The sequence below is a fragment of the Homo sapiens genome, chromosome 20 (genome assembly GCF_000001405.40).
Source record: "Homo sapiens chromosome 20, GRCh38.p14 Primary Assembly".
In the NCBI taxonomy this organism is placed as follows: domain Eukaryota; kingdom Metazoa; phylum Chordata; class Mammalia; order Primates; family Hominidae; genus Homo; species Homo sapiens.
The window spans coordinates 20,345,642-20,371,266 of NC_000020.11; the positions used below are offsets into that span (position 1 = coordinate 20,345,642).

At 49.3% G+C, this 25,625-nt stretch overlaps 2 protein-coding genes across 2 annotated transcripts in view, besides 3 other annotated features; both read left to right on the forward strand.

Annotated features, from left to right (window-relative positions):
• CFAP61 (cilia and flagella associated protein 61) overlaps positions 1-15,057 on the forward strand; it is a 308,167-nt gene extending 293,110 nt beyond the window's left edge. Inside the window, exon 27 of the mRNA NM_015585.4 lies at positions 14,569-15,057. Coding sequence (NP_056400.3) covers positions 14,569-14,769 — 201 coding nt within the window. The 3' untranslated portion in view covers positions 14,770-15,057. The remainder of the gene's footprint in view (positions 1-14,568) is intronic.
• Positions 14,804-15,098: an enhancer, noted in NCBI's record as "tiled region #7426; HepG2 Activating non-DNase unmatched - State 12:CtcfO". NCBI's record gives its function as "activates a minimal TATA promoter and a strong SV40 promoter by Sharpr-MPRA in HepG2 cells {active_cell/tissue: HepG2}" and the evidence as "EXISTENCE:reporter gene assay evidence [ECO:0000049][PMID:27701403]".
• Positions 14,804-15,098: a silencer, noted in NCBI's record as "tiled region #7426; K562 Repressive non-DNase unmatched - State 13:Ctcf". NCBI's record gives its function as "represses a minimal TATA promoter and a strong SV40 promoter by Sharpr-MPRA in K562 cells {active_cell/tissue: K562}" and the evidence as "EXISTENCE:reporter gene assay evidence [ECO:0000049][PMID:27701403]".
• Positions 21,556-22,326: an enhancer, noted in NCBI's record as "H3K27ac-H3K4me1 hESC enhancer chr20:20347841-20348611 (GRCh37/hg19 assembly coordinates)". NCBI's record gives its function as "activates a minimal SCP1, AML or CMV promoter by ChIP-STARR-seq in naive H9 embryonic stem cells {active_cell/tissue: H9 hESC(naive)}" and the evidence as "EXISTENCE:reporter gene assay evidence [ECO:0000049][PMID:30033119]".
• Positions 22,463-25,308, forward strand: INSM1 (INSM transcriptional repressor 1). Its single transcript, NM_002196.3, has one exon. It carries the CDS (start codon positions 22,627-22,629, stop codon positions 24,157-24,159), a length of 1,533 nt encoding a protein of 510 aa, NP_002187.1. The 5' UTR covers positions 22,463-22,626; the 3' UTR covers positions 24,160-25,308.
• Positions 25,309-25,625: the final 317 nt, after the last annotated feature.

Here is a 25,625-nt window from a genome sequence, read left to right on the forward strand (position 1 = left end):
CGGGTGCAGTGGCTCATGCTTGTAATCCCAGCACTCTGGGAGGACAAGGCAGGCAGATCACCTGAGGTCAGGAGTTCGAGACTAGCCTGGCCAACATGGTGAAACCCAATCTCTGCTAAAAATACAAAAAATTAGCCAGGCATGATGGCAAGTGCCTGTAATCCCAGCTACTCAGGAGGCTGAGGCAGGAGAATCTCTTGAACTCAGGAGGCAGAGGTTGTATTTAGCTGAGATTGTGCCACTTTTTTTTTTTTTTTTTTTTTTTTTTTTTGAGACGGAGTCTCGCTCTGTCGCCCAGGCCGGACTGCGGACTGCAGTGGCGCAATCTCGGCTCACTGCAAGCTCCACTTCCCGGGTTCACGCCATTCTCCTGCCTCAGCCTCCCGAGTAGCTGGGACTACAGGCGCCCGCCACCGCGCCCGGCTAATTTTTTGTATTTTTAGTAGAGACGGGGTTTCACCTTGTTAGCCAGGATGGTCTCGATCTCCTGACCTCATGATCCACCCGCCTCGGCCTCCCAAAGTGCTGGGATTACAGGTGTGAGCCACCGCGCCCGGCCGATTGTGCCACTTTAGTCCAGCCTGGGAGACAAGAGCAAAACTCTGTGGCTTATGCCTGTAATCCCAGCACTTTGGGAGGCCGAGGCAGGTGGATCGCCCGAGGTCAGGAGTTCGAGACCAGTCTGGCCAACATGGTGAAACCCTGTCTCTACTAAAAATACAAAAAACTAGCTGGGCATGGTGGTGGGCGGCTGTAGTCCCAGCTACCCGGGAGGCTGAGGTAGGAGATTTGCTTGAACCTGGGAGGTAGAGGTTGCAGTGAGCCCAGACCATGCCATTGCACTCCAGCCTGGGCGACAAGAGCAAAACTCCGTCTCAAAAAAAAAAAAAAAAATCTTCATAACATTTATTTTTAAAAAGCAAACTCATTCCAAGATATCTGAAATGCCCTTGTGGAGGTAAAGAGAGGAACACTGGCACTGCATTATTTAGCTGCAGGCAAAGCCACAGCATCACTGACCAAGGTGAAATTTTATTCAGTCAAAATGATCCTTCAAAATCCTTTACGAAAGATATAACAATTATAACCATATACTCACTTAACAAAAGAACCCCAAAATATATTAATAAAAGCAGAATTGAAAGAAGAAATAGTTCTAAAACAATAATGCAGACTTCTGTATTTTACTTTCAATAATGACTAGAACAACCAGACAGAAAATCAATAAGGAAATAGATGACTTCAATAGCACTATAAGCCAAGTGGACCCAACAGTCGTGGATGAAATTCTCTGTTCAACAGTAGAATGCACATTCTTCTCAAGTGCACACGGAACATTCTCCAGGATAGGCCATATGTTAGGCCACAAAACAAGTGTCAATACATTTTAACAGATTAAAATTATTATATTCTCCAACCACAACAGAATGAAGCTGGAAATCAGTAACAGAAGGAAGATTGGAAAAATTCACAAATTTGTGGAAGTTAAATAACACATTCTTAAGCAACCAGTGGGTCAAAAAAGAAATAAAAAAGGGATATTAGAAATGCTAATAGATGAATGAAAACTAAGATACAACATACCAACATTTATGAGATCCAAAGAAAGCAGAATTTAAAGCTATAAGTGCCTACATAAAAAGAACTCAAATCAGTAACCTAATTTTATAACTTGAGGAACTAGAAAAAGAAAACCAAAGTAAGCCTAATGCCAGCAGAAGAAAATAATAAGGATTAGAACAAAGATAAATGAAATAGAGAATAAGAAAATAGAGAAAATCAATAAAACCAAAAGTTAGTTCTTTGGAAAGATCAACCAAATTGATAAACCTTTAGCTAGACTGCCTAAGAAAAAAGACTCAAATTACTAAAGTTAGAAATACAAGTGGGGACATTACTATCGACCTTATGGAAATAAAAAAGGATTATGAGAAAATGCCATGAATAATTATTTGCCAACCAATTACATAACCTAGATGAAATGGTCAAATTATTAGAAATGAACAAACTAGGCTGGGTGCAGTGGCTCACGCCTGTAATCCCAGCACTTTGGGAGGCCAAGGTGGGCCGATCACGAGGTCAGGAGTTCGAGACCAACCTGACCAACATGGTGAAACCCCTTCTCTACCAAAAATACAAAAATTAGCCCGTCATGGTGGCACATATCTGTAATCCCAGCTACTCAGGAGGCTGAGGCAGGAGAATTGCTTGAACCTGGGAGGCAGAGGTTTCAGTGAGCCGAGATCATGCCATTGCACTCCAGCCTGGGCCACAGAGCAAGACGCCATCTCAAAAAAAAAAAAAAAAAAAAATGAACAAACTAAAAACTGACACAAGAAGAAATAGAAAATCTCAACAGAGCTATAACAAGTAAAGACCTTGAATCAATAATCAAAAACCTCACACAAAGAAAAGCCCAAGACCGGATGGCTTCGTTAGTGAATTCTATCAAATATTTAAAGAATTAACACCAATTCTCTTGAACTCTTCCAAAACATAGAAGAGGTTGGAACTATTCAATGAGATCAGCATTACCCTAATACCAAAGCTAGACAAAGACACTGCAAGAAAAGAAAACTTACAGACCAACACCCCTTTTAAATTTAGAAGCAAAAATAGCCAGCAGATTATTAGCAAGCCAAATCCAGCAGCATATTAAAGGACTAAACACCCAGCTGAGTGAGATTTACCCCAGGAATGTAAGGGTAGTTCAACATATAAAAATGAATCAATGTAATACACCATTTTAATAGAACAAAGGGGAGGCTGGGTGCAGTGGGTCACGCCTATAATCTCAGCAATTTGGAAGGCCAAGGCAGGCAGATCATTTGAGATCAGGAGTTTGAGACCAGCCTGACCAACATGATGAAACCCTGTCTCTGGTAAAAATATAAAAAAATTAGCCAAGCATGGTAGCACACACCTGTAATCTTAGCCACTCACAAGGCTGAGGCAGGAGAATCTCATGAACCCAGGAGGTAGAGGTTGCAGTGAGCCAAGATTGTGCCACTGCACTACAGCCTGGGCAATAGAGCAAGACTCCGTATCAAAAAAAAAAAAAAAAAAAAAAGAACAAAGGGGAAAAAACACTATCATCTCAATTGGTGCAGAAAAAGCATTTGACAAAATCAAATACATTCTTATGGTAAAAACACTAAAAAAAAAAAAAAACAAACTGTCAATAGAAGGGAATGTCTCCAATCTGACAAAGGATGTTTATGAAAAACCCACAGATAACATTACACTCAGTAATGAATTACTGAAACCTGAATTCTTATCCCTGAGATCTGGAATAAGACAAGGATGCCTGCTTTCACCACTTATATTCAGCATGGTTTTGGAAGTTCTAGCCAGAGCAATCAGGCAAGAAAAAGATATAAAAGACATCCACACTGGAAAGGAAGAAGTGAAACTATCTCCATTCTCAGGTGATGTGGTCCTAAAGAATCCACAAAATAACTATTAGAGCTAATAAATGAAATCAGCAAAGTTGCAGAATATGAAACCAACACACAATAATCCATTGTCTACATTATCAGTTGTATTAATCTGTTTGCATTGCTTTAGAAGAACACCTGAGACTGGGTAGTTTATAAAGAAAAGAGATTTGGCTCATGGTTCTGCAGGCTGTACATGAAGTACATGTACTGACATCTGCTTCTGGTGAGGGCCTCAGGAAATTTCCAGTCATGATGGAAGGTGAAGGGGGAGACAGTGTATCACATGGCAAGACAGGGAGCAAAAGAGAGAGGGAAGTGGTGCCAAGTTCTTTTAAACAACCAGATCTGGCATGAACTCAGAGTGAGAACTCACTCATTACCACGAGGACAGCAGCAAGCCATTCATGAGGGATCCTCCCTAAGACCCAAACACCTCCTCCAGGTCCCACTTCCAGCATTGGGGATCACATTCCAGCATGAGAGTTGAAGGGAAAAAAACATCCAGACCATATTAGCATTTAATAATTTGAAAATGAAATGAAGAAAACAATTATAGTTATTATAATAGCATTAAAAAGAATAAAATACTTGGGAGCAAATTTAACCAAAATAGTGCAAGGCTTACACACTGAAAACTACAAAACATTTTTGAAAGAAGTGAATGACTACCTAAATAAATGGGACAACATCTGTGTTCATGCATTTGAAGACTTTATATTGTTAGGATGGCAATACCACCCAAAACAATCTACAATTCAGTACAATCCTGTCAAAATTCCAAGGGCATTTTTAAAAAGAAATGCAAGTCCTAAGTTCCTATGGAAATGGAAGGGACTCCAAATAGCCAAAACTATCCTGGAGGGAAAAAAGAACAGAGTTGAAGAACTCACATTTTCTTACTACAAAGCAACAGTAACCAAGACAGTGTGGTACTTGCATGAGAATAGATATATAGATCAATGGACTAAAATTCAGAGTCCAGAAGTAAACCTGTTTACATGAAAATATGTTCAGCATCATCAATTATTAGGGAAATGCAAATCAGAACCATAATGAGATACCACTTTACAGCCACTGGCATGGCTATAATACAAAACAAGGGGGGAAATAGTGAAGATATGGGGAAAATGGGAACTGAATTGCTGGTGGGAACATAAAATTACACCTGCTATAGAAAATGTTTTGATGGTTCCTCAGAAAGTTACACACAGAATTACCATATGACTCAGCAACTGCACTTCTAAATATATATCCAAAAGAATTGAGGCCAGACGTGGTGGTTCACACCTGTAATCCCAGCACTGTGGGAGGCTGAGGTGGGCAGATCATCTGAGGTCAGGAGTTCAAGACCAGCCTGGCCAACGTGGTGAAACCACATCTCTACTAAAAATACAAAAATTAGCCGGACGTGATAGTGCACACCAGTAGTCCCAGCTACTCGGGAGGCTGAGGCAGGAGAATCGCTTGAACCCAGGAGGTGGATGTTGCAATGAGCCGAGATCACACCACTGCACTCCAACCTGGGTGACAGAACAAGACTCCATCTCAAAAAAACAAAACAAACAAACAAACAAAGAATTGAATGAGGTATTCTAATGATTGCTTGTACAAGAACATTCAAAGCAGCACTGTTTAGAACAGCCAGAAGGAGGAAACAACCCAAATGTCCATCAACATATCAATGGATAAACAAATGTGGTCTAGCCACGCAATGGAATAGTATTCAGCCATGAAGAGAAATGAGGTACTGATACAAAGCACATGAACCTCAAAACATTATGCTAGAAGGCAGAGAAAGCATTTGACAAAATTTGCATCCTTTCATGATTGAAAATAAAAAACCTCTCAACAATTAGGTATAAAAGGAATGTTCCTGAACACAATAAAGGCCGTATATGACAAGCCCACAGCTAACGTCATTCTCAGTGGTGAAAAGTTGAAAGCTTTTCCTCTAAGATCAGGAACAAGACAAGGATGCCTACTCTTGCCACTTCTATTAAACATAGGATCAGAATTCCTAGCCAGAGCAATCAGGGAAAAAGAAGAAATAAACACATCCAACTAGGAAAGGAAGAGGTGAAATTGTCTCTGTTTGCTGATGACATGATCTTATACACATAAAATCCTTAAAGACTCCACCAAAAAACTTTTGGAACTGATAAGTGAGTTCAGTAAAGTTGCAGGATACAAAACCAACATACAAAAGTCAGTAGTGTTGGCTAGGCATGGTGGCTCACACCTGTAATCCCAGCACCTTGAGAGGCCAAGGCGGGCAGATCACCTGAGGTCGGGAGTTCAAGACCAGCCTGGCCAACATGGTGAAACCCCATCTCTACTAAAAATACAAAAAATTAGCCAGATGTGGTGGCGGGTGCCTGTAATCCCAGCTACTCAGGAGGCTGAGGCAGGAGAATCTCTTGAACCCAGGAGGCGGAGATTGCAGTGAGCCGAGATCATGCCACTGTACTCCAGTCTGAGCGAGACTCTGTCTCGAAAAAAAAAAAAATGTTTATATACACTAACAATAAACTATCTGAAAAAGAAATTAAGAAAGCAATTCCATTTACAAAGCATCAAAAAAAATATTTAGGAGTTTTTAACCAATGAGTTAAAAGATCTCTATACTGAGAGCTATAAAACATTGATGAAAAAAATTGAAGCCAACACAAATAAATGGAAAGATATCATGTGTTCATGGATTAGAAGAATTCATATTGTTAAAATGTCCATACTAACCAAAGCAATCTGCAGATTCAATGCAATTCCTATCAAAATGCCAATGTCATTTTTCACAGAAATAGAAAAGACAATCTTAAAAATCATATGGAACCACAAAAGACCCACAAATAGCCAATACAATCTTGAGAAAAAAAAAACGGAAGGCATAACACTACCTGATTTCAAAATATATTTCAAAACCATAGTAATCAAAACAGCATGTGTATTAGTCCATTTTCGCACTGTTATAAAGAACTTCCCTGAGACTGGGTAATTTACGAAGGAAAGAGGTTTAATTGACTCACAGTTCCATATGGCCGGGGAAGCCTCAGGAAACTTACAATCATGGTGGAAGGGGAAGCAAGCACCTTCTTCTCAAGGTGGCAGGAGCATGAGAAGAGCAAAGGAGGAACTTCCAAACACTTATAACCATCAGATCTCATGAGAACTCACTCACTATCATGAGAACAGCATAGTTCTCAGCATAGTTCACCCCACTATCATGAGAACACCCACTATCATGAGAACACCCACTATCATGAGGACAGCATAGTTCTCAGCATAGTTCGCCCCCATGATCCAAACACCTCTGTCTTTCGACAGACACGTGGGGATTACAAATTGAAATGAAATTTGGGTGGGGACACAGAGCCAAACCATATCAGCATGGTACTGCCATAAAAACAGATAAATGTACCAGTGGGACAGGATAGAGAGTCATAAATAAACCTACACATTTACAGGCAATTGATTTTTGACAAAAGTGCCAAGAACACACAATGGGGAAAGGACAGTCCCTCCAATAAATGGTATTGGGAAAATGGGAACATTCCACATGCAGAAGAATGAAATTGGACTCTTCTCTCAGCCCATACACAAAAATCAATTCAAAATGGAGTGAAGACTTAAACATAAGACCGGAAACTGTAAAACTTCTAGAAGAGAACATAGGAGAAATAGTTCTTGACGTTGGTCTCAGAAAGGATTTTTTTGGATGTGACACCAAAAGCACAGGCAACAAAAGCAAAAACAGACAAGTGGGTCTACATCAAATTTAAAAGCTTCTGCACAGCAAAGAAAACAACAGAGTGAAGAGACAGCCCACAGACTGGGAGAAAATATTTGCAAATCATACATCTGATTTGATGTATGATATCCAATTTTGGCTAATATCCAAAATATACAGGCAACTATATAACTCACTAACTCACTAACTAACAGGAAACAACTCACTAACAGGAAAACAAATGACCTGATATAAACATAAGCAAAGGACCTGAATAGACACTTCTCAAAAGAAGACATACAGTAGGTCCTTGAATAACATCCTTTCGTTGTAACATTGATGAGGAAAACAAAGTCATTCCCGGGCCACTGTCTGTGGAGTTTGCATGTTCTGCCCATGTCTGTGTGCATTGTGGGTTTTCACCAGGTACACTGGAGTTCAAAGATCAGAAAAAAACAAAACACTATGCTAAGTGAAAAGAGCCAGACACAAAAGGTTAATTGGCATGTCTAAATGGTCCCAGTGTGCGTGAGTGTGGGTGCAGGTGTGGATGGAAATGTACCCTGTGATGGGAGGGGTCCTGTTCATGGGTTCCTGCTTTGTACCCTGAGCTGCCGGGATAGGCTCCAGCAACCTACCACCCGGAACTGAAATAACTCGGTAAATAATTACCTTACTTGTTTATGTTAATCTTTCTTAAATGTATCATAGCCCACAATTATTTTAGTGTTTAATATTAGAAGTGTTTTTCATCTTTATTTAGAAGTTTGATGATGTTTTTGTGACCAGAAATATGCTGTCGGAACTTCACTCTTGTTCTTATCAATTAGCCTATGGTAAAATTGGTTTTGTTATATGTCATCTCGCTTAAAGTTACAGTTTCCAGGAAGCTACGAGGACTTACTGTGACCAAAAGATATATTTAAAAAAGGATCAACCTCATGAATCATCAGGGAAATGGAAATTAAAACCACAGTGAGCTACCACCTCACCCTTGTTAGTATGGCTGTTATAGATAAAAGGTTGGCAAGGATGTGGAGAAAAGGGAATTCTTGTTCACTGTTGGTGGTAATATAGATTGGTTCAGCCATTTTGGAAAACAGTATGGAGGTTCCTCTGAAAACTAAAAATAGAATTACATATAATCCAGCAATCTCACTTTTGGGTATGTATCCAAAAGAAATGAAATCAATGTATCAAAGAAATATCTACATTCCTATGCTTATTGCAGCTTATTCAAAATAGCCAGGACATGAAATGAACCTAAGTGTTCATCAACAGATGAATGGATAAAGAAATTATGGTATATATGCACAATGGAATACTATTCAGCCTTGAAAAAAAGGAAGTTCTGTTCTGTCATTTTCAACAACATGAATGAACCTGGAGGACTTTATGCTAAGTATAATAATTCGGGTACAGCCGGGCATGGTGGCCTGTAGTCCCAGCACTTTGGGAGGCTGAGGCAGGTGGATCATTTGAGGTCAGGAGTTCAAGAGCAGCCTCGCAAACATGGTGAAACCTCGTCTGTACTAAAAATACAAAAATTAGCCAGGCAGTAGTGGTATGCACCTGTAATCCCAGCTACTCAGGAGGCTGAGGCAGGAGAATTGCTTGCACCCAGGAGGCAGAGGTTGTGGTGAGCCAAGATCATACCACTGCACTCCAGTCTGGGTGACAGAGAGAGACCTTGTCTCAAAAAAAAAAAAAAAAAATCAGGTACAGAAAGGTAAATACTGCACGATCTCACTTACATGTGGAATCTAAAGAAGTTGAATTCATAAGGGTAATGAGGGGAGGAAGGGGTGGTCATACTGTGTGAAGGGAGATAGTCACACTGAGGGAAGGTGGTCACACTGTGAGAAGGGAGGTAGTCACATTGTGAGAGAAAAAGTGATCACACTGTGTGAGGGGAGGTGGTCACACTGTGAGAGAAAAAGTAATCATACTGTGAAAGGGAGGTGGTCACGCTGAGAGGGGAGGTGGTCACACTGTGTCAGGGGAGGTGGTCACACTGTGAGAGAAAAAGTAATCACACTGTGAGGGGATGTGGTCACACTGAGAGGGGAGGTGGTCAGACTGTGTCAGAGGAGGTGGTCACACTGAGGGGAGGTGGTCACACTGTGAGAGGGGAGGTGGTCACACTGAGGGGAAGTGGTCACACTGTGAGAGGGGAGGTGGTCACACTGAGGGGAGATGGTCACACTGCAAGAGGGGAGGTGATCACACTGAGGGGAGGTGGTCACACTGTGAGAGGGAAGGTGGTCACACTGTGAGAGGGAAGGTGGTCACACTGTGTGAGGGGAGGTGGTCACACTGTGAGGGGAGGTGGTCACATTGTGAGAGGGAAGGGGGTCACTGTGAGAGGGGAGAAGGTCACACTAAGGGGAGGTAGTCACACTGTGAGGGGAGGTGATCACACTAAGGGGAGGTGGTCACACTGTGAGAGGAGGTGGTCACACTGTGAGGGGTGGTCACACTGTGAGGGGAGGTCACACTGAGGGGAGGTAGTGACACTATGAGCAGAGATGGTCACACTGTGAGGGGAGGTGGTCACACTGAGGGGAGGTAGTGACACTGTGAGCAGAGATGGTCACACTGTGAGGGGAGGTGGTCACACTGAGGGGAGGTGGTCACACTGTGAGGGGAGGTGGTCACACTGAGGGGAGGTGGTCACACTGTGAGGGGAGGTGGTCACACTGTGAGGGGAGGTGGTCACACTGAGGGGAGGTAGTGACACTGTGAGCAGAGATGGTCACACTGTGAGGGGAGGGGGTCACACTGTGAGGGGGAAGGTGGTCACACTGTGAGAGGGGAGAAGGTCACACTAAGGGGAGGTAGTCACACTGTGAGGGGAGGTGATCACACTAAGGGGAGGTGGTCACACTGTGAGAGGAGGTGGTCACACTGTGAGGGGAGGTCACACTGAGGGGAGGTAGTGACACTATGAGCAGAGATGGTCACACTGTGAGGGGAGGTGGTCACACTGAGGGGAGGTAGTGACACTGTGAGCAGAGATGGTCACACTGTGAGGGGAGGTGGTCACACTGAGGGGAGGTAGTCACACTGTGAGGGGAGGTGGTCACACTGTGAGGGGAGGTGGTCACACTGAGGGGAGGTAGTGACACTGTGAGCAGAGATGGTCACACTGTAAGGGGAGGTGATCACACTGTGAGGGGACGTCACACTGTGAGGGGAGGTGGTCACACTGTGAGAGGGGAGGTGACCACACAGGGGAGGTGGTCACACTGAGGGGAGGTAGTGACACTGTGAGCAGAGATGGTCACACTGTGAGGGGAGGTGGTCACACTGAGGGGAGGTAGTCACACTGAGAGGAGGTGGTCACACTGAGGGGAAGTGGTCACACTGAGGGGGGGTGGTCACACTGAGGGGAGGTGGTCATACTGTGAGTGAGGAGCTAGTCACACTGAGGGGAGGGGTCATACTGCGAGTGGAGGTAGTCACACTGTGAAGGGTGGTAGTCACACTGAGAGGAGGTGGTCACACTGAGGGGAAGTGGTCACACTGAGGGGAGGTGGTCATACTGTGAGGGGAAGTGGTCACACTGAGGGGAGGTGGTCATAGTGTGAGGGGAGGTGGTCACACTGAGGGGAGGTGGTCACACTGAGGGGAGGTGGTCACAGTGTGAGGGGAGGTGGTCACACTGAGGGGAGGTGGTCACAGTGTGAGGGGAGATGGTCACACTGAGGGGAGGTGGTCACAGTGTGAGGGGAGGTGGTCACACTGAGGGGAGGTGGTCATAGTGTGAGGGGAGGTGGTCACACTGGGGAGGTGGTCACACTGTGAGGGGAGGTGGTCACACTGAGAGGAGGTGGTCACACTGAGGGGAAGTGGTCACACTGAGGGGAGGTGGTCATAGTGTGAGGGGAGGTGGTCACACTGGGGAGGTGGTCACACTGTGAGGGGAGGTGGTCACACTGAGAGGAGGTGGTCACACTGAGGGGAAGTGGTCACACTGAGGGGAGGTGGTCACACTGAGGGGAGGTGGTCATAGTGTGAGGGGAGGTGGTCACACTGGGGAGGTGGTCACACTGTGAGGGGAGGTGGTCACACTGAGAGGAGGTGGTCACACTGAGGGGAAGTGGTCACACTGAGGGGAGGTGGTCACACTGAGGGGAGGTGGTCATAGTGTGAGGGGAGGTGGTCACACTGGGGAGGTGGTCACACTGTGAGGGGAGGTGGTCACACTGTGAGGGGAGGTGGTCACACTGAGAGGAGGTGGTCACACTGAGGGGAAGTGGTCACACTGAGAGGAGGTGGTCACACTGAGGGGAGGTGGTCATACTGTGAGTGAGGAGGTAGTCACACTGAGGGGAAGTGGTCACACTGAGGGGAGGTGGTCACACTGAGGGGAGGTGGTCATACTGTGAGTGAGGAGGTAGTCACACTGAGGGGAGGGGGTCATACTGCGAGTGGAGGTAGTCACACTGTGAAGGGTGGTAGTCACACTGAGAGGAGGTGGTCACACTGAGGGGAAGTGGTCACACTGAGGGGAGGTGGTCATACTGTGAGGGGAAGTGGTCACACTGAGGGGAGGTGGTCATAGTGTGAGGGGAGGTGGTCACACTGAGGGGAGGTGGTCACAGTGTGAGGGGAGGTGGTCACACTGAGGGGAGGTGGTCACAGTGTGCGGGGAGGTGGTCATACTGAGGGGAGGTGGTCACACTGAGGGGAGGTGGTCACACTGAGGGGAGGTGGTCATACTGTGAGTGAGGAGGTAGTCACACTGAGGGGAGGGGGTCATACTGCGAGTGGAGGTAGTCACACTGTGAAGGGTGGTAGTCACACTGAGAGGAGGTGGTCACACTGAGGGGAAGTGGTCACACTGAGGGGAGGTGGTCATACTGTGAGGGGAAGTGGTCACACTGAGGGGAGGTGGTCATAGTGTGAGGGGAGGTGGTCACACTGAGGGGAGGTGGTCACAGTGTGAGGGGAGGTGGTCACACTGAGGGGAGGTGGTCACAGTGTGCGGGGAGGTGGTCATACTGAGGGGAGGTGGTCACAGTGTGAGGGGAGGTGGTCACAGTGTGAGGGGAGGTGGTCACACTGAGGGGAGGTGGTCATAGTGTGAGGGGAGGTGGTCACACTGAGGGGAGGTGGTCACACTGAGGGAAGGTGGTCACACTGAGGGGAGGTGGTCATAGTGTGAGGGGAGGTGGTCATAGTGTGAGGGGAGGTGGTCACAGTGTGAGGGGAGGTGGTCACACTGAGGAGAGGTGGTCATAGTGTGAGGGGAGGTGGTCACACTGAGGGGAGGTGGTCACACTGTGAGGGGAGGTGGGCACACTGTGAGGGGTGGTAGTCACACTGAGAGGAGGTGGTCACACTGAGGGGAGGTGGTCACACTGAGGGGAAGTGGTCACACTGAGGGGAATGGTCATACTGTGAGGGGAGGTGGTCACACTGAGGGGAAGTGGTCACACTGAGGGGAATGGTCATACTGTGAGGGGAGGTGGTCACACTGTGAAAGAAGATGATCACAGTATGAGAGGTCATCCTTCAAGAGGCAAGTGCCCAAAAATCTGTTTATAATCTAGAGCAATATTTGCCTGAAATAAACTTTAAAAGTGGTTTTACGCTATTTAACCCAGTGTCAGAACAGCAGCATACAATATGAGCTCAAAATCTTGTATAATTTTAGTAAGGTAATTGTTTTTGGTTGGTTTGATACAATTCTCCAGAAAAATTAAGGAAGAAAGAGCCAACCTCATACACATTGCAGAATATATCCACGAGGCCTTACTGGTGGCACCCAAAGTTTTCAGAACCTCCCAGTACTTAGTTGTGAGAATCAGTTGCTTTTTCCCTATCACTGCCTTTATTGCTCTAGTTTAAATCTGAATTCCTGCAACCCTCACTGACTGCTCTTTCCAATGTGTGCATAATCTCCAGCACCCCGTTGTGTCTTGCTTAGCCAAGTGGCAATGACTTTATGCCTCCATATAGCTTGAGTCTGTTTTCCTATCTATAAGCTCTTATCACTAGTAAGTTAATAATCCAACAAAACCCTGCAAGGAATTGCCTTTTCTATTCAAAATAGAAGGAATTATTGGAAGTTGAAATAAATGTACCATCAGAGTCCACAGACTCTTGATCTAGGGTGATGTTCAAGAATCACAGTGTTTGGAAAGCAGCCAGCTCAACCCTGGGGGATGTGCTTTCTAGAAGTACCCTGCTCTGGAGGGCAGATATGCAGTGGTGAAGCAAATATAGCAGATGTTAACTGTGGAGTCCAGGTGCAGGTGTGCAGGTGTTCAGTGGACAATTCTTCAACTTGTCTCTGAAAATTTTTATAATGAAATGTTAGGAAAATCTCTACTACACTGTACCTATGTGCAGCATAAGATTCTCAGCTTCAAACAACTTTATTCTTTCTGAGCCCTACCTTTTTAAATATATCAATAAAATTTGACTTGATTGTGAATTTATTCTAAGGTTTTAAAATCCCACTTCTTGGGAATTATAAGCAAGAAAACTTTTCATATAGGACCTTTCAAGTAAAAAGGTTTAATCACTCCTTTTTTTTATTTTTAAATTTTTTTATTTTTAAAACAGAGGCAGGGCGTGGTGGCTCATGCCTGTAATCCCAGCACTTTGGGAGGCCGAGGTGGGCAGATCACCTGAGGTCGGGAGTTCAAGACCAGCCTGACCAACATGGAGAGACCCTGTCCCTACTAAATATACAAAATTAGCCAGGCATGGTGGGCCATGCCTGTAGTCCCAGCTACTTGGGAGGCTGAGGCAGGAGAATAGTTTGAACCTGGTAGGCGGAGGTTGCAGTGAGCCGAGATCATGCCATTGCACTCCAGCCTGGGCAACAACAGCGAAATTCCGTCTCAAAAAGCAAAAAACAAAACAACAACAACAACAAAACAAGTATGATCTACAGATGATTTTTATCTGAAAATGAAGGGCTTGAAATGACTAACCTGGATGACTCTTGAGGACATTATGCTAAGTGATATAAGCCAGTCACAAAAAAAAGTACTACAGGGTTCCACTCATATGAGATGCCTGCGTAGTCACATTCATAGAGACAGAGGTGGTTTCCAGGGCCTGGAGGATGGGAGGGTACGGAGCTGGTGTTTAATGGAGACAGCGTTTCAGCTGACGAAGATGAGAAAGTCCTGGAGATGGACAGTGGTGAGGGTTACACAGCAATGTGAATGTACTTCATGCCACTGAACTGTACACCTAAAAATTATTAAAATAAGACATGTTGTGTATACTTTGCCACAATTAAAAATAAATTTTCAAAAGCTAGAAAAAAAATGACCATCCTTGCAGAGCTGACTACTGTTGTTTTCATTCTCATGAAACTGCCGTTACAACTGTGCAGGGTCCAATTAATTTCTGTATCTGGCCTCTTACTGTGTTTTACAGGAGGAAGATCTTCCTTCCATAGAGCAGTTAGCCCATCAAATAGAAGATGAGGAAATCAACCCGACTGAGAAGCCCAGGCAATACCTCAAAAGAGTTTTTGAGGAATCCATCTACAAAACCCTGGTGGAGAGAAGCACTCTTGACTACCTGCACTATAACCGCTACCACCTGCCCATGTACGCGTGGCCAGGCATCGTTTAGTTGTAGGCAGGGTCTCCCCTTTATGGTTTTCATTTATTTAGTTCCTGGAAACGCGCTCTGTAGAAATAGAAAAGTTCTCTGCAGCCTGGTTTGACAGCGAAGCCAGCCCCTGGTGGTTTTGTTCATTCCTTTCCTTCCCTGACTTATGCCTGTAGTTTTCTATCATCCCAGTAGGTGGCACACGGCCGTGTGCCTCTCTTCTGGGGCAGGCTCGCTTTACAAATCCCAGGCATGTTCCTGTGCAGAATAATCCATTTCAGCAATAAAATGAGATCATAGTGTGTAAAACTTGTTTTTACCTTGGGTGTGATTCTGTTTGATTTCCTGGAAACTTCCGCTGCCAGTCTTGTTAGTTCTTCACATGTTTACCCAGCAGTACTTGTGGGTGATAAAAAAGAAAATGTGCCCAGAATGGAAAATTAGTAAACAGATGATGAGAAATTAAATCTGCAGTCCAACATAAGAAGCAGTGATTGTGTAGGAAAGCTTACATGACCTTTGGAAAGGAGGAGGCTGTATTTCTGTTTCAAATTGCAGATGAGGAGCATAAAGTCACAGAAAAGTTGGGTGCTCAAGGGGTTCACACATAGGTTTTAGATTAGAACGTGGTAACGTGGTAATGGGAAGTTCATCAAAGTTCATTTTCTTTGATCCTTAGCACTGTTGCTTTGCATTGAGGGGGGCGGGGTGAAGGGGTCCCTAGTACATGTCAACTCTAATGTGGATCAGAAACCCTTTTTCTTATAAATAAAGCAAATTAATTGCCCACTAGTAACTAACTGCATGGATTCAGGAATGAGGGGGAACAACACATAAGATTGTGCTCATTTATTGGGTCTCTCAGTAGACAGTGTGACACAATTTTTCACAGCAGGGCTTAAAACTGGTTTTTGTGAACAATTCCAGTTTTTTCTTCATGTGTTGTATTTTATGTAAATGTTGAGCAAAAGTTGGCACAAGATAAGGGATACACAACTATTAGAAGGAAAGTCAGAGCTGGCATTACAGCACTGTGTACACATTATCAAACTCTCTGCTGCAAACTGCCAACTTGTTGGAACTGCAAAGTTATTTGATATTGATATTTCTGCAAAATAAAATTGTTCCAGAATACTGGACTCTTGATTTTCCCAAGGCAGGCAAAAGCAAGCAATAAATGCTCCTAATTCCTTCACATGCACGTTTTCCGCAAATGCATGGGTCACTGGGGGGAGGGTCCAGCATTGGCCATATGGTACACACTGTGTCACTTGAATGGGGAACAATTGCTACTGGTCCACTCTTCAGAATTCAGACCCAGCACACGTGGAACCATATTTCAGGGGCTGGTGAATGAGTCAGCTCAAGCAACTCTCCTCCCCTGTCCCATTCCCCTGAAAGGACCTGGGTCAAACTCATAAGCAAAAGGAGTAAGTTTCTGTGACAGGTCCTGGGACCCCTGGATGCAGATTAACAGAACAATCTCGGAGGATCAACAGTTATGACTTCTGTGACCAAGTATTAGCATTAAAAAGCCTCCAGTCACATAAAAGTGACCCCAAATGACAATGTCAACCTTAATACCAAATCATGCATAAATGTGACAGTAAGTTTTCCTTTGCTGCCTTTTGAAAAAGGAGTGTTAGTGCTCCATAAGTATCACAGCAGACTTGAAAATATCTAGAATATATTTTAGTGTACAAAGTATATTGGGTGACATTATTTTAATCCTTATCTCACACTTCGAAAGTGGGTAATTTACAAGCTATTTAGCATAGATGCTAAATAATTTCCTGAATCTAAGAATCTTAGCATATCTGTTCAGACTTGAAAACTTTATCACTGAACAAGTTGCCTAAGAATAAAAGAGGAATTCAAGAGTTGTTGGTTATAACTTGCAATTGACTATTCTAAGGGCTTTGGGAAAATAACGGTGAAGATAAAGCCTGGCTTTTAAAAGGAAGGGCTTGAAACAGACCAATATTTGGACTTGGCTTGCACAAGGCATGAATTCCGTAAGTGGATTGAATGCTTGGCGTCTCTACATATTTCAGCACTTGCTGCTGAGCTGGGGACATCTTGGGCTGTAAGCCTGATCTTGGAATTCTACAGTTTTAAGCAAAGAATATTAATCAGAAAATACCAAAGTTAATTTTCCAAAGTTTTATTCCCCCAAATCACATGCAACAACCCCGCCTTCTGATGCCTCTAATTGCTCTCCCAACAGATGTCAGTTTTTAATAAAGAGTGTAACCACCGCCTTTCCAAAAATGGCTTATTATGGTTTTACTACACTCAAACATCACAGGAGGGCAAGAGAAAAATCAACGATGAAGTGAGGGAGGGAAGGAAATATGGCATGGAGCATAAAATGTAAAGCCAGCCAATCAATATTTACCCTTTCAAGAGGGAGAGAGAGAGAGGAGGGAGGGAGGGAGGGAGGGAGAGAGAGAGAGAGAGGGTGCGCATCCGAGTGAGCCAGTGTTAGCCAAGAAGCAGGGAGCAGGGCTCGAAAGTCGCTGAGCGCCGAGTGCGAGGAGCTGTTGATTGTTTTCTGGTTGAAAGAAGAAGTGATGATAAGGCTGGGATAAAGTGAGCGCCGGCAGGGGCGCAGAGCCCGCAGCTGTATGCTAATGCTCACAGAAACCAAGCCTCCGCGTCCCCCATTAAAGCAGGCGACCAGGAGGCCACACATCACTGAACAAATAGGCTCTCTCTAGACAAATAAAATAACACACGTTGGCCTGTGGGGAGTGGGGGGAGAGTAAGAGCAGGGAGAAGAGTGGGGGGAGAGTAAAGGAGGGGGGAGAGAGAGAAGGAAAGAGAGAAGGGGAGAGGAATGGGAGACTGGGAGAGAGGTGGGGGGGAAGAGAGGGAGAGAAGACAGAAACAAGCGAGGGAAGAGACAGGAGAGAGGGACGAGAGGAGAGAGGGGAGCAGAAAGACAGCAAAGAGGGCTGGGGGAACTGGATGGGGAGGGAGGGACAGTGGGAAGAAGGGGCTGGGAGAGAAGAAGGGGGCCAGTTATGGGGGGGACACCACAGGTCGGGGGGGGGATTAGGAGTGAAAGAGATGGGAGAGAGAGGAGAAGGAGGGAGAGGTGACACCGTGGGGAGCAAGAAAGGAGGGGAAAGAAAAGAAAGGAAGAGACAGAAGGAGAGAGAAGGACAGGAGGAGGGAGAGGAGGCGGATGACACAAGGAGGGAACCAGAGGGCGAGGGAGGAGAGCAGGGACGGGAGAAGAGGGAAAGGCGGAGGAGAGAGGAACGGCGGTGGGGGGGGAGGAGCACCCGCCAACCCCATAGCAAGAACGCTCGCCAGGGTAGAAAGTATGCCCTTGTGGACCCCAGGAGTCTGGCTGCCTCTTCGTCCTCCTGCGGCAGGCGAGGCGGGGTGCAGGTGTGAGTGGGGTGGGAGGAAGGGGAAAGGATCGGGGTCGCCGCAGCCTTTCTGGTCAGTTTCGCTGGGTTTTGTCAGTTCCGTTTGAGACCGAGGCGCACGGACTAGCGGCCGCCAGCACCTCACAGGTGGAGGACACCTCTTGCGCCCCAAGGTCAATGTCATCCCGATGGGTCCCGTGCCGTCCTGACTCTCCCTGACCTAATTCTTTGGTTATGACTTTCTCACCTTCTGGGCTTCGCCTCTGCCAGCTTTCGCCGACGTCGCCCTTCCCGCCGCCCGCCCGGGCCTTCCTACCCGCTCTCCTCCCTCCCTGGCCCGACGGTCCCACTGAGGCAAAAACAAACAGCCCTGAGGGCACTTCAAGGAGCGTGCAGTGGCCCCGACGGTACTCTCGGGGGGATAAAAGAGGTGGCCAGCCACGCCGTCGGCCCCCGGCCGAATAATGGGCGCGCAGCAGATTGCCAGGGGGCACTTGAAACTCGAGGGGAGGGAAATACTTGAGCGCGGTCCCTCCCCGCGAGGACGCACGACGCAGCCTCGCGGATCGTCCCTTGTTCGCTCTCTTTCATGCACTCTCCTTTTGTGTGGAATTATCTAAACGGGAGATCCCTGGCAGCTTTATGCTAATGCGCCGAACAAAGGCAACGGCCCGCGGGCGGGAGGCCCGGAAGGTGCCTGGGGCCGGGCCGGGCGGGGTGGCGGCCAGGCGGGCTGCGCGTGTCTCTCGCGTGCCCCTGGGACTGACACAACAACCCCTCATTCCTGCAAATACAAAGCCTCTCACCGGCTCGGGTCGGGCGCACCCGGCGCAGGGAGGCGCTGGTCCCTCCGGGCGGCGGGCACTGCAGCGGTAACGCACGGTTCCTGCCGGTTGTGGCTCGGGGGACTGAGGGCCGGGAGTGGGGGCTTCTGTGAAGCCAGAAGAGAAGTCTGCAGCAGAGTGGTGATGAGGGGCGCTGACACCTCACCCCCAACGCCGACGTCTCCAAACGCGATACCCTCTGCGGGGTGAGAATGCGGGCCCGCCCGGCTCCTCCCGTGAGGCCAGGGCCTCCTGTTCTCCTAGACACCCCAAGGAGCCAACTCCTCCGCAGAAGTTCCCCGCTTCTGCTCTTATTTCCAAGCTTCGCGCTTTCTACAAACTCCCTGTTGCCTTGACTTTGATTTCCAGCCGTGGTGAGGGTCAGAGTGAACCCCGGCGCGCTCCCCGACGGCATCCCCGCACACCAGGATAGGAGAAATTGGAGGGCCTGGGGCCTCGGGCTCCGCAGTCGTCGGAGGAAGAACCCACCGCGGGGTCCGCAAGGGAAAGTGAAGAGGCCCGGGATTTTTCCAAAGCGCTGGCCAGGACCCCGAAGGAAGGGGAGGAGTCACCTGAAGCCGGGGAAGGCCCCTTGGGTGCTCTGCCTTGGATCCTTATGTTCACTGACTTTCGCGAAGCCCCCCTGGAGGGGGGCAAATCCGCGCTGTTTCCCCCAACTTAACTTCACGCGGCCCATTCTCCGAATCGCGTGCGCCAAGGCCGGCGTCGGGGGCGCACTGTGATGGCGCTTTGCTCTTCCCAGGCGAAGACAAATATCTCGACCCGATGTCCCCATGCATGCGGGTGCACAGGTTCTGAGAAAATCACGCAGAAGGCGGCTGCGATCCACGGCCCGGGCTGGGCTACACCTGCTTGGAGGTCGCTGGTGTGTGCGTGCGCGCGTGCGCAGCCTAACTCCTTCCAGCCCCGGGTGGTGAAATTAGTTTCCAATACTAGTACCTTTCAAGTTTCCATTTATTTTGACTGTACCCGTCTGAAAGCAGATTTCATTTACGCTAGCAAGACTGGAAGCCACAAATAAAGAAAAAGAAACGGATTCATTGAATCTCAGTATCTCAGTAGCGTTTAATAGATTCCCTTGGCTAAATTCAGAGCCCTGTTTGAATTCACTCACGCAGGAGTTGTTTTGTTTTTTTTGTTGGTAGAGGTGCCGGTTTCCCATCCCCACGGCTTATTTACAATTATGGGTGTTGTTATTTTTAAAGGATTCACAAGGTGACTAACTCTCTGTTATCTGTTGAATGGAAGGAGTGTTACATATGCAAGACCGAATGGGGCAGGCCGAGCCCCCGCCCTATGCTATTCTACAATCCAGATGGGATTCGTGATTAGAAAATAAAATTGGCCAAAGCTGTCTCGGAATCCTTTTCCCACTTCTAATTTCATCAGCACTATTAATCAGAGCTCAAAAGAGCAAGGAAATAACATCAGTTACTTTTAGATAGAAATATGTTTATAAATTTTAGATAAACTCATTTTAAGATTTCTAACTTTTGGGGAGACTAGCACTCACCACAGCATTTTTAAAACTAGGGTGAGACTTTTCAAAATATATTTCACTATATGCATTCTTCCCTTTTCAGTGTGTGAGTTAAAATATTACAAACATAAAATTATCAAATATCTTTCCCTTGATTAACCAACCTGATTAACCCCTTAATTAATTAAGCCTAACAACTGTCCCCATCACAACTTATGACTCATGTGGACTCTATTTTTACATGTTTAATTTCTACGCCAGGGTATTTTCAGAGGGAAAATCCAAAACAATTAAATACCTTCAGTGGAATTAAGCGTAAGTAAAACTCAGCAAAATCTGTCTGGTATACAAAGCTTTGCAGAAAAATGTTTCCTTCTCTTTCAATAAAGTGACATTTTCCTCACAGCATATGACATTTTATGTGGCTTGGCTATTTGTTCCCCAGTGTTGGACGATCAGGGCCACTACGCACTCGTGGGGTTCTCTGCCCTGTCCCCCGAAGATTCTGCCTTTTGTGTTTCCTCGGGGCTGGGCTGGACAGAGGATGGAGGCAGGCGGCCCAGTCTGGGTCCAAACGGAACGGCAGCGGAGGTGGGGGTGGGGGTGGGGGCGGGGGGAATCTTCGCTGTTGTCTCTTCCTGGTGGCACAGGGGAGGCGGCTTGTCCTCTCGGAGGCCTCAGCCTGCCTCAGAGTACAGATTGCCCCCCCTCCCCCCGTCCAGCACGCGTCTCTTTTGCGTCCAGATTGGCCGCGACCGGAGCTCAATAGCAGGAGGTTAATTTCCTTCACAAAGGTGAAGGGGGCACGGCTCCGTGGGGGCTGCGCCCAGACAGGCAGCCCCTTTATTTCGCAGCGCCTTGATTGGAGCCCTTGATTTAGCATCTGATGTCAACCGGCAAACAAAATGCCCGCTCGGAATGAAAATGCATGAGGCCGCGCGGGGAGGAGAAAGCCAACTTCACTGGGGCGCACGAGGCCGACCGCGCGTTTCGGGCTTCGGCCAACTCGACCCGGATTAACCGAGCCTTGGACCACGCGGAAGCTCCGGGCGGCCTGGGTCGGGCCCCGCCAAAGATGCCATTCCCAAGCCTCCAAGAACCCAAAAGTTCAGAAATTCACGTTCCTCTGGGAACCCAGCCCAGCCCGCCCGCGCTCCAATCCCGCGCTTTCGGGAGACTGAGAAGGCCGTGCCAATTCCTTCTCAAACTCGAAAGAAACCTTCTCTAGCCCCGTGGGCGCGCGGAGGCTGCGAGCACAAACATCGCCCTCGGCCACTGCCAGAAGGCCGGGCCCCCTGTCCACACTTGGAACCCCGGGGAACCCTTTTGCTTGGCCTCTTGGGTCCAGCGGCCCATCCGTCCAAGGTCCGGGCGGAGGCCGTCCGGACCCTGCTGCTCTCTCGGATTCTTGTTTATTTCCCAAACACCACGCGGAGCCACTGCGCCTCCGCAACGATCTCCCCCGCACCGCCCCGGCGCGCCCCCGCCCCCACCCAATCAGCGCGCACAACTTCCCCCTCGGCTCCGGCTCGCGGATTGAACCCTCCTGACATATTTGGGGCCATTCTTCTCCTTTGTTGCTATTTTGCTAGCGACCCGCGGGTAATCCCCGCGCGGGAGGGGGGCGTGCATTGTCGCGCTGATGGACGGGCCCATTTGGCGGCTCCGCGCCCCCCGGAGGAGAGACACAAAGCCCAGGCACGTGCGCCTCCCCATAGAGAAGCAGCAGACCGTGAAGGGAGGCGGGGCCGGGCGTGTGCCTGGACCGGGCGGGGCGGCGGCGCCGGGCGGGGCGACCAGGGGCGCGCGCGGGGGCCCCGCGCCCTCAGGTACATCTGCCGCACCTACCGGGCGACCCCCGAGTCCCGGCCCCCTTTTGGCCGCCCCATCGCCCTCCCACCCTGCCAGGCTGAGGAGCTGCGGACGCGCTGATTGGCTCCAGGGGAAGCGGGAGGCGAGAACAATGGCCCCCTCCCCCCGTTAAAAGGGAGCGGCTGCCGGGCCCGGGGACAGGGACGCGCGTGCAGGGCGCAGAGCTGGGCCGAGCCGTCGCCGGCGCCACGCGAGTCCCGCAGCCGCCGCGCCCGGGCAATGGGCCGGGGGCACTGAGGGCCGCCGGGGCCGAGCGCGGAGGGGGGACCGAGCCAGTGCCGTGCCCTCGGGCCGCGCCAACATGCCCCGCGGCTTCCTGGTGAAGCGCAGCAAGAAGTCCACGCCCGTTTCCTACCGGGTCCGCGGCGGCGAGGACGGCGACCGCGCACTGCTGCTCTCGCCCAGCTGCGGGGGCGCCCGCGCCGAGCCCCCGGCGCCGAGCCCGGTCCCCGGGCCGCTGCCGCCGCCGCCGCCCGCGGAGCGCGCCCATGCAGCGCTCGCCGCCGCGCTTGCCTGCGCGCCTGGGCCGCAGCCACCCCCGCAGGGCCCGCGGGCCGCGCACTTCGGCAACCCCGAGGCTGCGCACCCCGCGCCGCTCTACAGTCCCACGCGGCCCGTGAGCCGCGAGCACGAGAAGCACAAGTACTTCGAACGCAGCTTCAACCTGGGCTCGCCGGTCTCGGCCGAGTCCTTCCCCACGCCCGCCGCGCTGCTCGGAGGGGGCGGCGGCGGCGGCGCGAGCGGAGCTGGCGGAGGCGGCACCTGCGGCGGCGACCCGCTGCTCTTCGCGCCCGCCGAGCTCAAGATGGGCACGGCGTTCTCGGCTGGCGCCGAGGCGGCCCGCGGCCCGGGCCCCGGCCCCCCACTGCCCCCTGCCGCCGCCCTGCGGCCCCCGGGAAAGCGGCCCCCGCCCCCTACCGCCGCGGAGCCGCCCGCCAAGGCAGTCAAGGCCCCGGGCGCCAAGAAGCCCAAGGCCATCCGCAAGCTGCACTTCGAGGACGAGGTGACCACGTCGCCCGTGCTGGGGCTCAAGATCAAGGAGGGCCCGGTGGAGGCGCCGCGGGGCCGCGCGGGGGGCGCGGCGCGGCCGCTGGGCGAGTTCATCTGCCAGCTGTGCAAGGAGGAGTACGCCGACCCGTTCGCGCTGGCGCAGCACAAATGCTCGCGCATCGTGCGTGTGGAGTACCGCTGTCCCGAGTGCGCCAAGGTCTTCAGCTGCCCGGCCAACCTGGCCTCGCACCGCCGCTGGCACAAACCGCGGCCCGCGCCCGCCGCCGCCCGCGCGCCGGAGCCAGAAGCAGCAGCCAGGGCTGAGGCGCGGGAGGCACCCGGCGGCGGCAGCGACCGGGACACGCCGAGCCCCGGCGGCGTGTCCGAGTCGGGCTCCGAGGACGGGCTCTACGAGTGCCATCACTGCGCCAAGAAGTTCCGCCGCCAGGCCTACCTACGCAAGCACCTGCTGGCGCACCACCAGGCGCTGCAGGCCAAGGGCGCGCCGCTAGCGCCCCCGGCCGAGGACCTACTGGCCTTGTACCCCGGGCCCGACGAGAAGGCGCCCCAGGAGGCGGCCGGCGACGGCGAGGGGGCCGGCGTGCTGGGCCTGAGTGCGTCCGCCGAGTGCCACCTGTGCCCAGTGTGCGGAGAGTCGTTCGCCAGCAAGGGCGCTCAGGAGCGCCACCTGCGCCTGCTGCACGCCGCCCAGGTGTTCCCCTGCAAGTACTGCCCGGCCACCTTCTACAGCTCGCCCGGCCTTACGCGGCACATCAACAAGTGCCACCCATCCGAAAACAGACAGGTGATCCTCCTGCAGGTGCCCGTGCGCCCGGCCTGCTAGAGCGCGCCCTCCACCCCGGCCCCCGAACTGTGCCTTCGCTTGGAGACCCACAAAGAGAGTGCGCCCTGCACTCCCCGAACCCGAGTCCGCGCTGGGGGAGCCTCGCCCCCGCCCCCACCGGGTGAAAGTGTCGTCTCCGCTTCTCTCGGTGTGGCGTGACGGTAACCCCATACTCTCCTTTTGACTCCTTTTGGAACCCCCACTTTTACGTTGTGTCCCTCCGCCTCCCCCATGGCGCAACAGGAGTCAGTCTCTTTCTGTACAAGGGAGAAAAGCTGTACGCGTTTGTCTCGTGGTTGGAAGCCTCCCCTTGGCGGGGAGAAGCTTTTTTTCTTGCTAGTATTCGCTGTGTTCATGGTCTAGAAATGCGGTCTGGTCTCGCCTCGCCTACCAATCTCTGCTCTCTATGTATGTAGCGTACGGGTTGTTTTGGGTGAATCTTGAGGAATAAATGCCTTTATATTTCACAGGCTGTAAATTGAACTTCCCACACGATTAGCTTTATTATGGCTTGTGAACTGCTGGAGTCTGGCTTTACCTTTTTGTATGTGAACAAATCAAATTGCTTAAAAAAGAGTTTTCTTTAGTATAGCCACAAATGCCTTGAACTGTTGTCTGGGATTGTTTTGTGGGGGGAGGGAAGGGAGTGTTCCGAAGATGCTGTAGTAACTGCCTCAGTGTTTCACGTAAGACTTTTTGGTTTGATCATCTTTGTTGAGGTAGGACTATCAGTTCCCTCTAAATGTATATGTTGATTTATGAGTAATTGTTATTTATTCTTTATTTATTTATATTAATTATGAAGATTATGATATTATTTGATTGCAGATTTTTTTGGCGCGCTGCCCCCTCCCCACCCTGCCACTCTTGACATTCCACTGTGCGTTTTAGAAGAGAGCCTTTTTCTAAAGGGATCTGCTTAAAGTTTTAACTTTTATACCTATCTGAGTGAATTACAGACAACCTATCATTTATTCTGCTTCGAGGGTCCCCAGGGCCCTTGTACAACCGACAGCTCTTACTTTTAAATGCAATCTCTTTTCTACATACATTATTTTCTTAATTGTTAGCTATTTATAGAAAGCTTCAATAGAACTGTTTCAACTGTATAACTATTTACTATTCAAATAAAATATTTTCAAAGTCAAAGTGTGGTGGCCTGATTTCTGCATCACATGCTTTCAGGACGAATTTAAAATAGAGCTTCTGATGGTTTCTTAAAATGTAACTTTATTTTTTATTAGGAAAAAGGGAACCACCAGGATGGTGGGTTTTCAGAGCTGAACCTCAGCTGCGGAACTCTGCCCTTCTGGCAGCCTGAGGGTATAGCCTTGGTAGCGGCTGGCTGAAACAAGCCTTGTTGGGGTCCTTAGTAATGTGCCAGGAGGCGGGTTAGAATGAAGGCCCTGGGCATCTTTTCAGAGAAATCTAGATCAGTGTCCCTAAGAAGCTGTTCTTTGCACTGC

Coding starts and splice junctions, on each gene's coding strand:
- INSM1 (NM_002196.3), top strand. CDS start 22,627: ATGCCCCGCGGCTTCCTGGTGAAGCGCAGCAAGAAGTCCACGCCCGTT.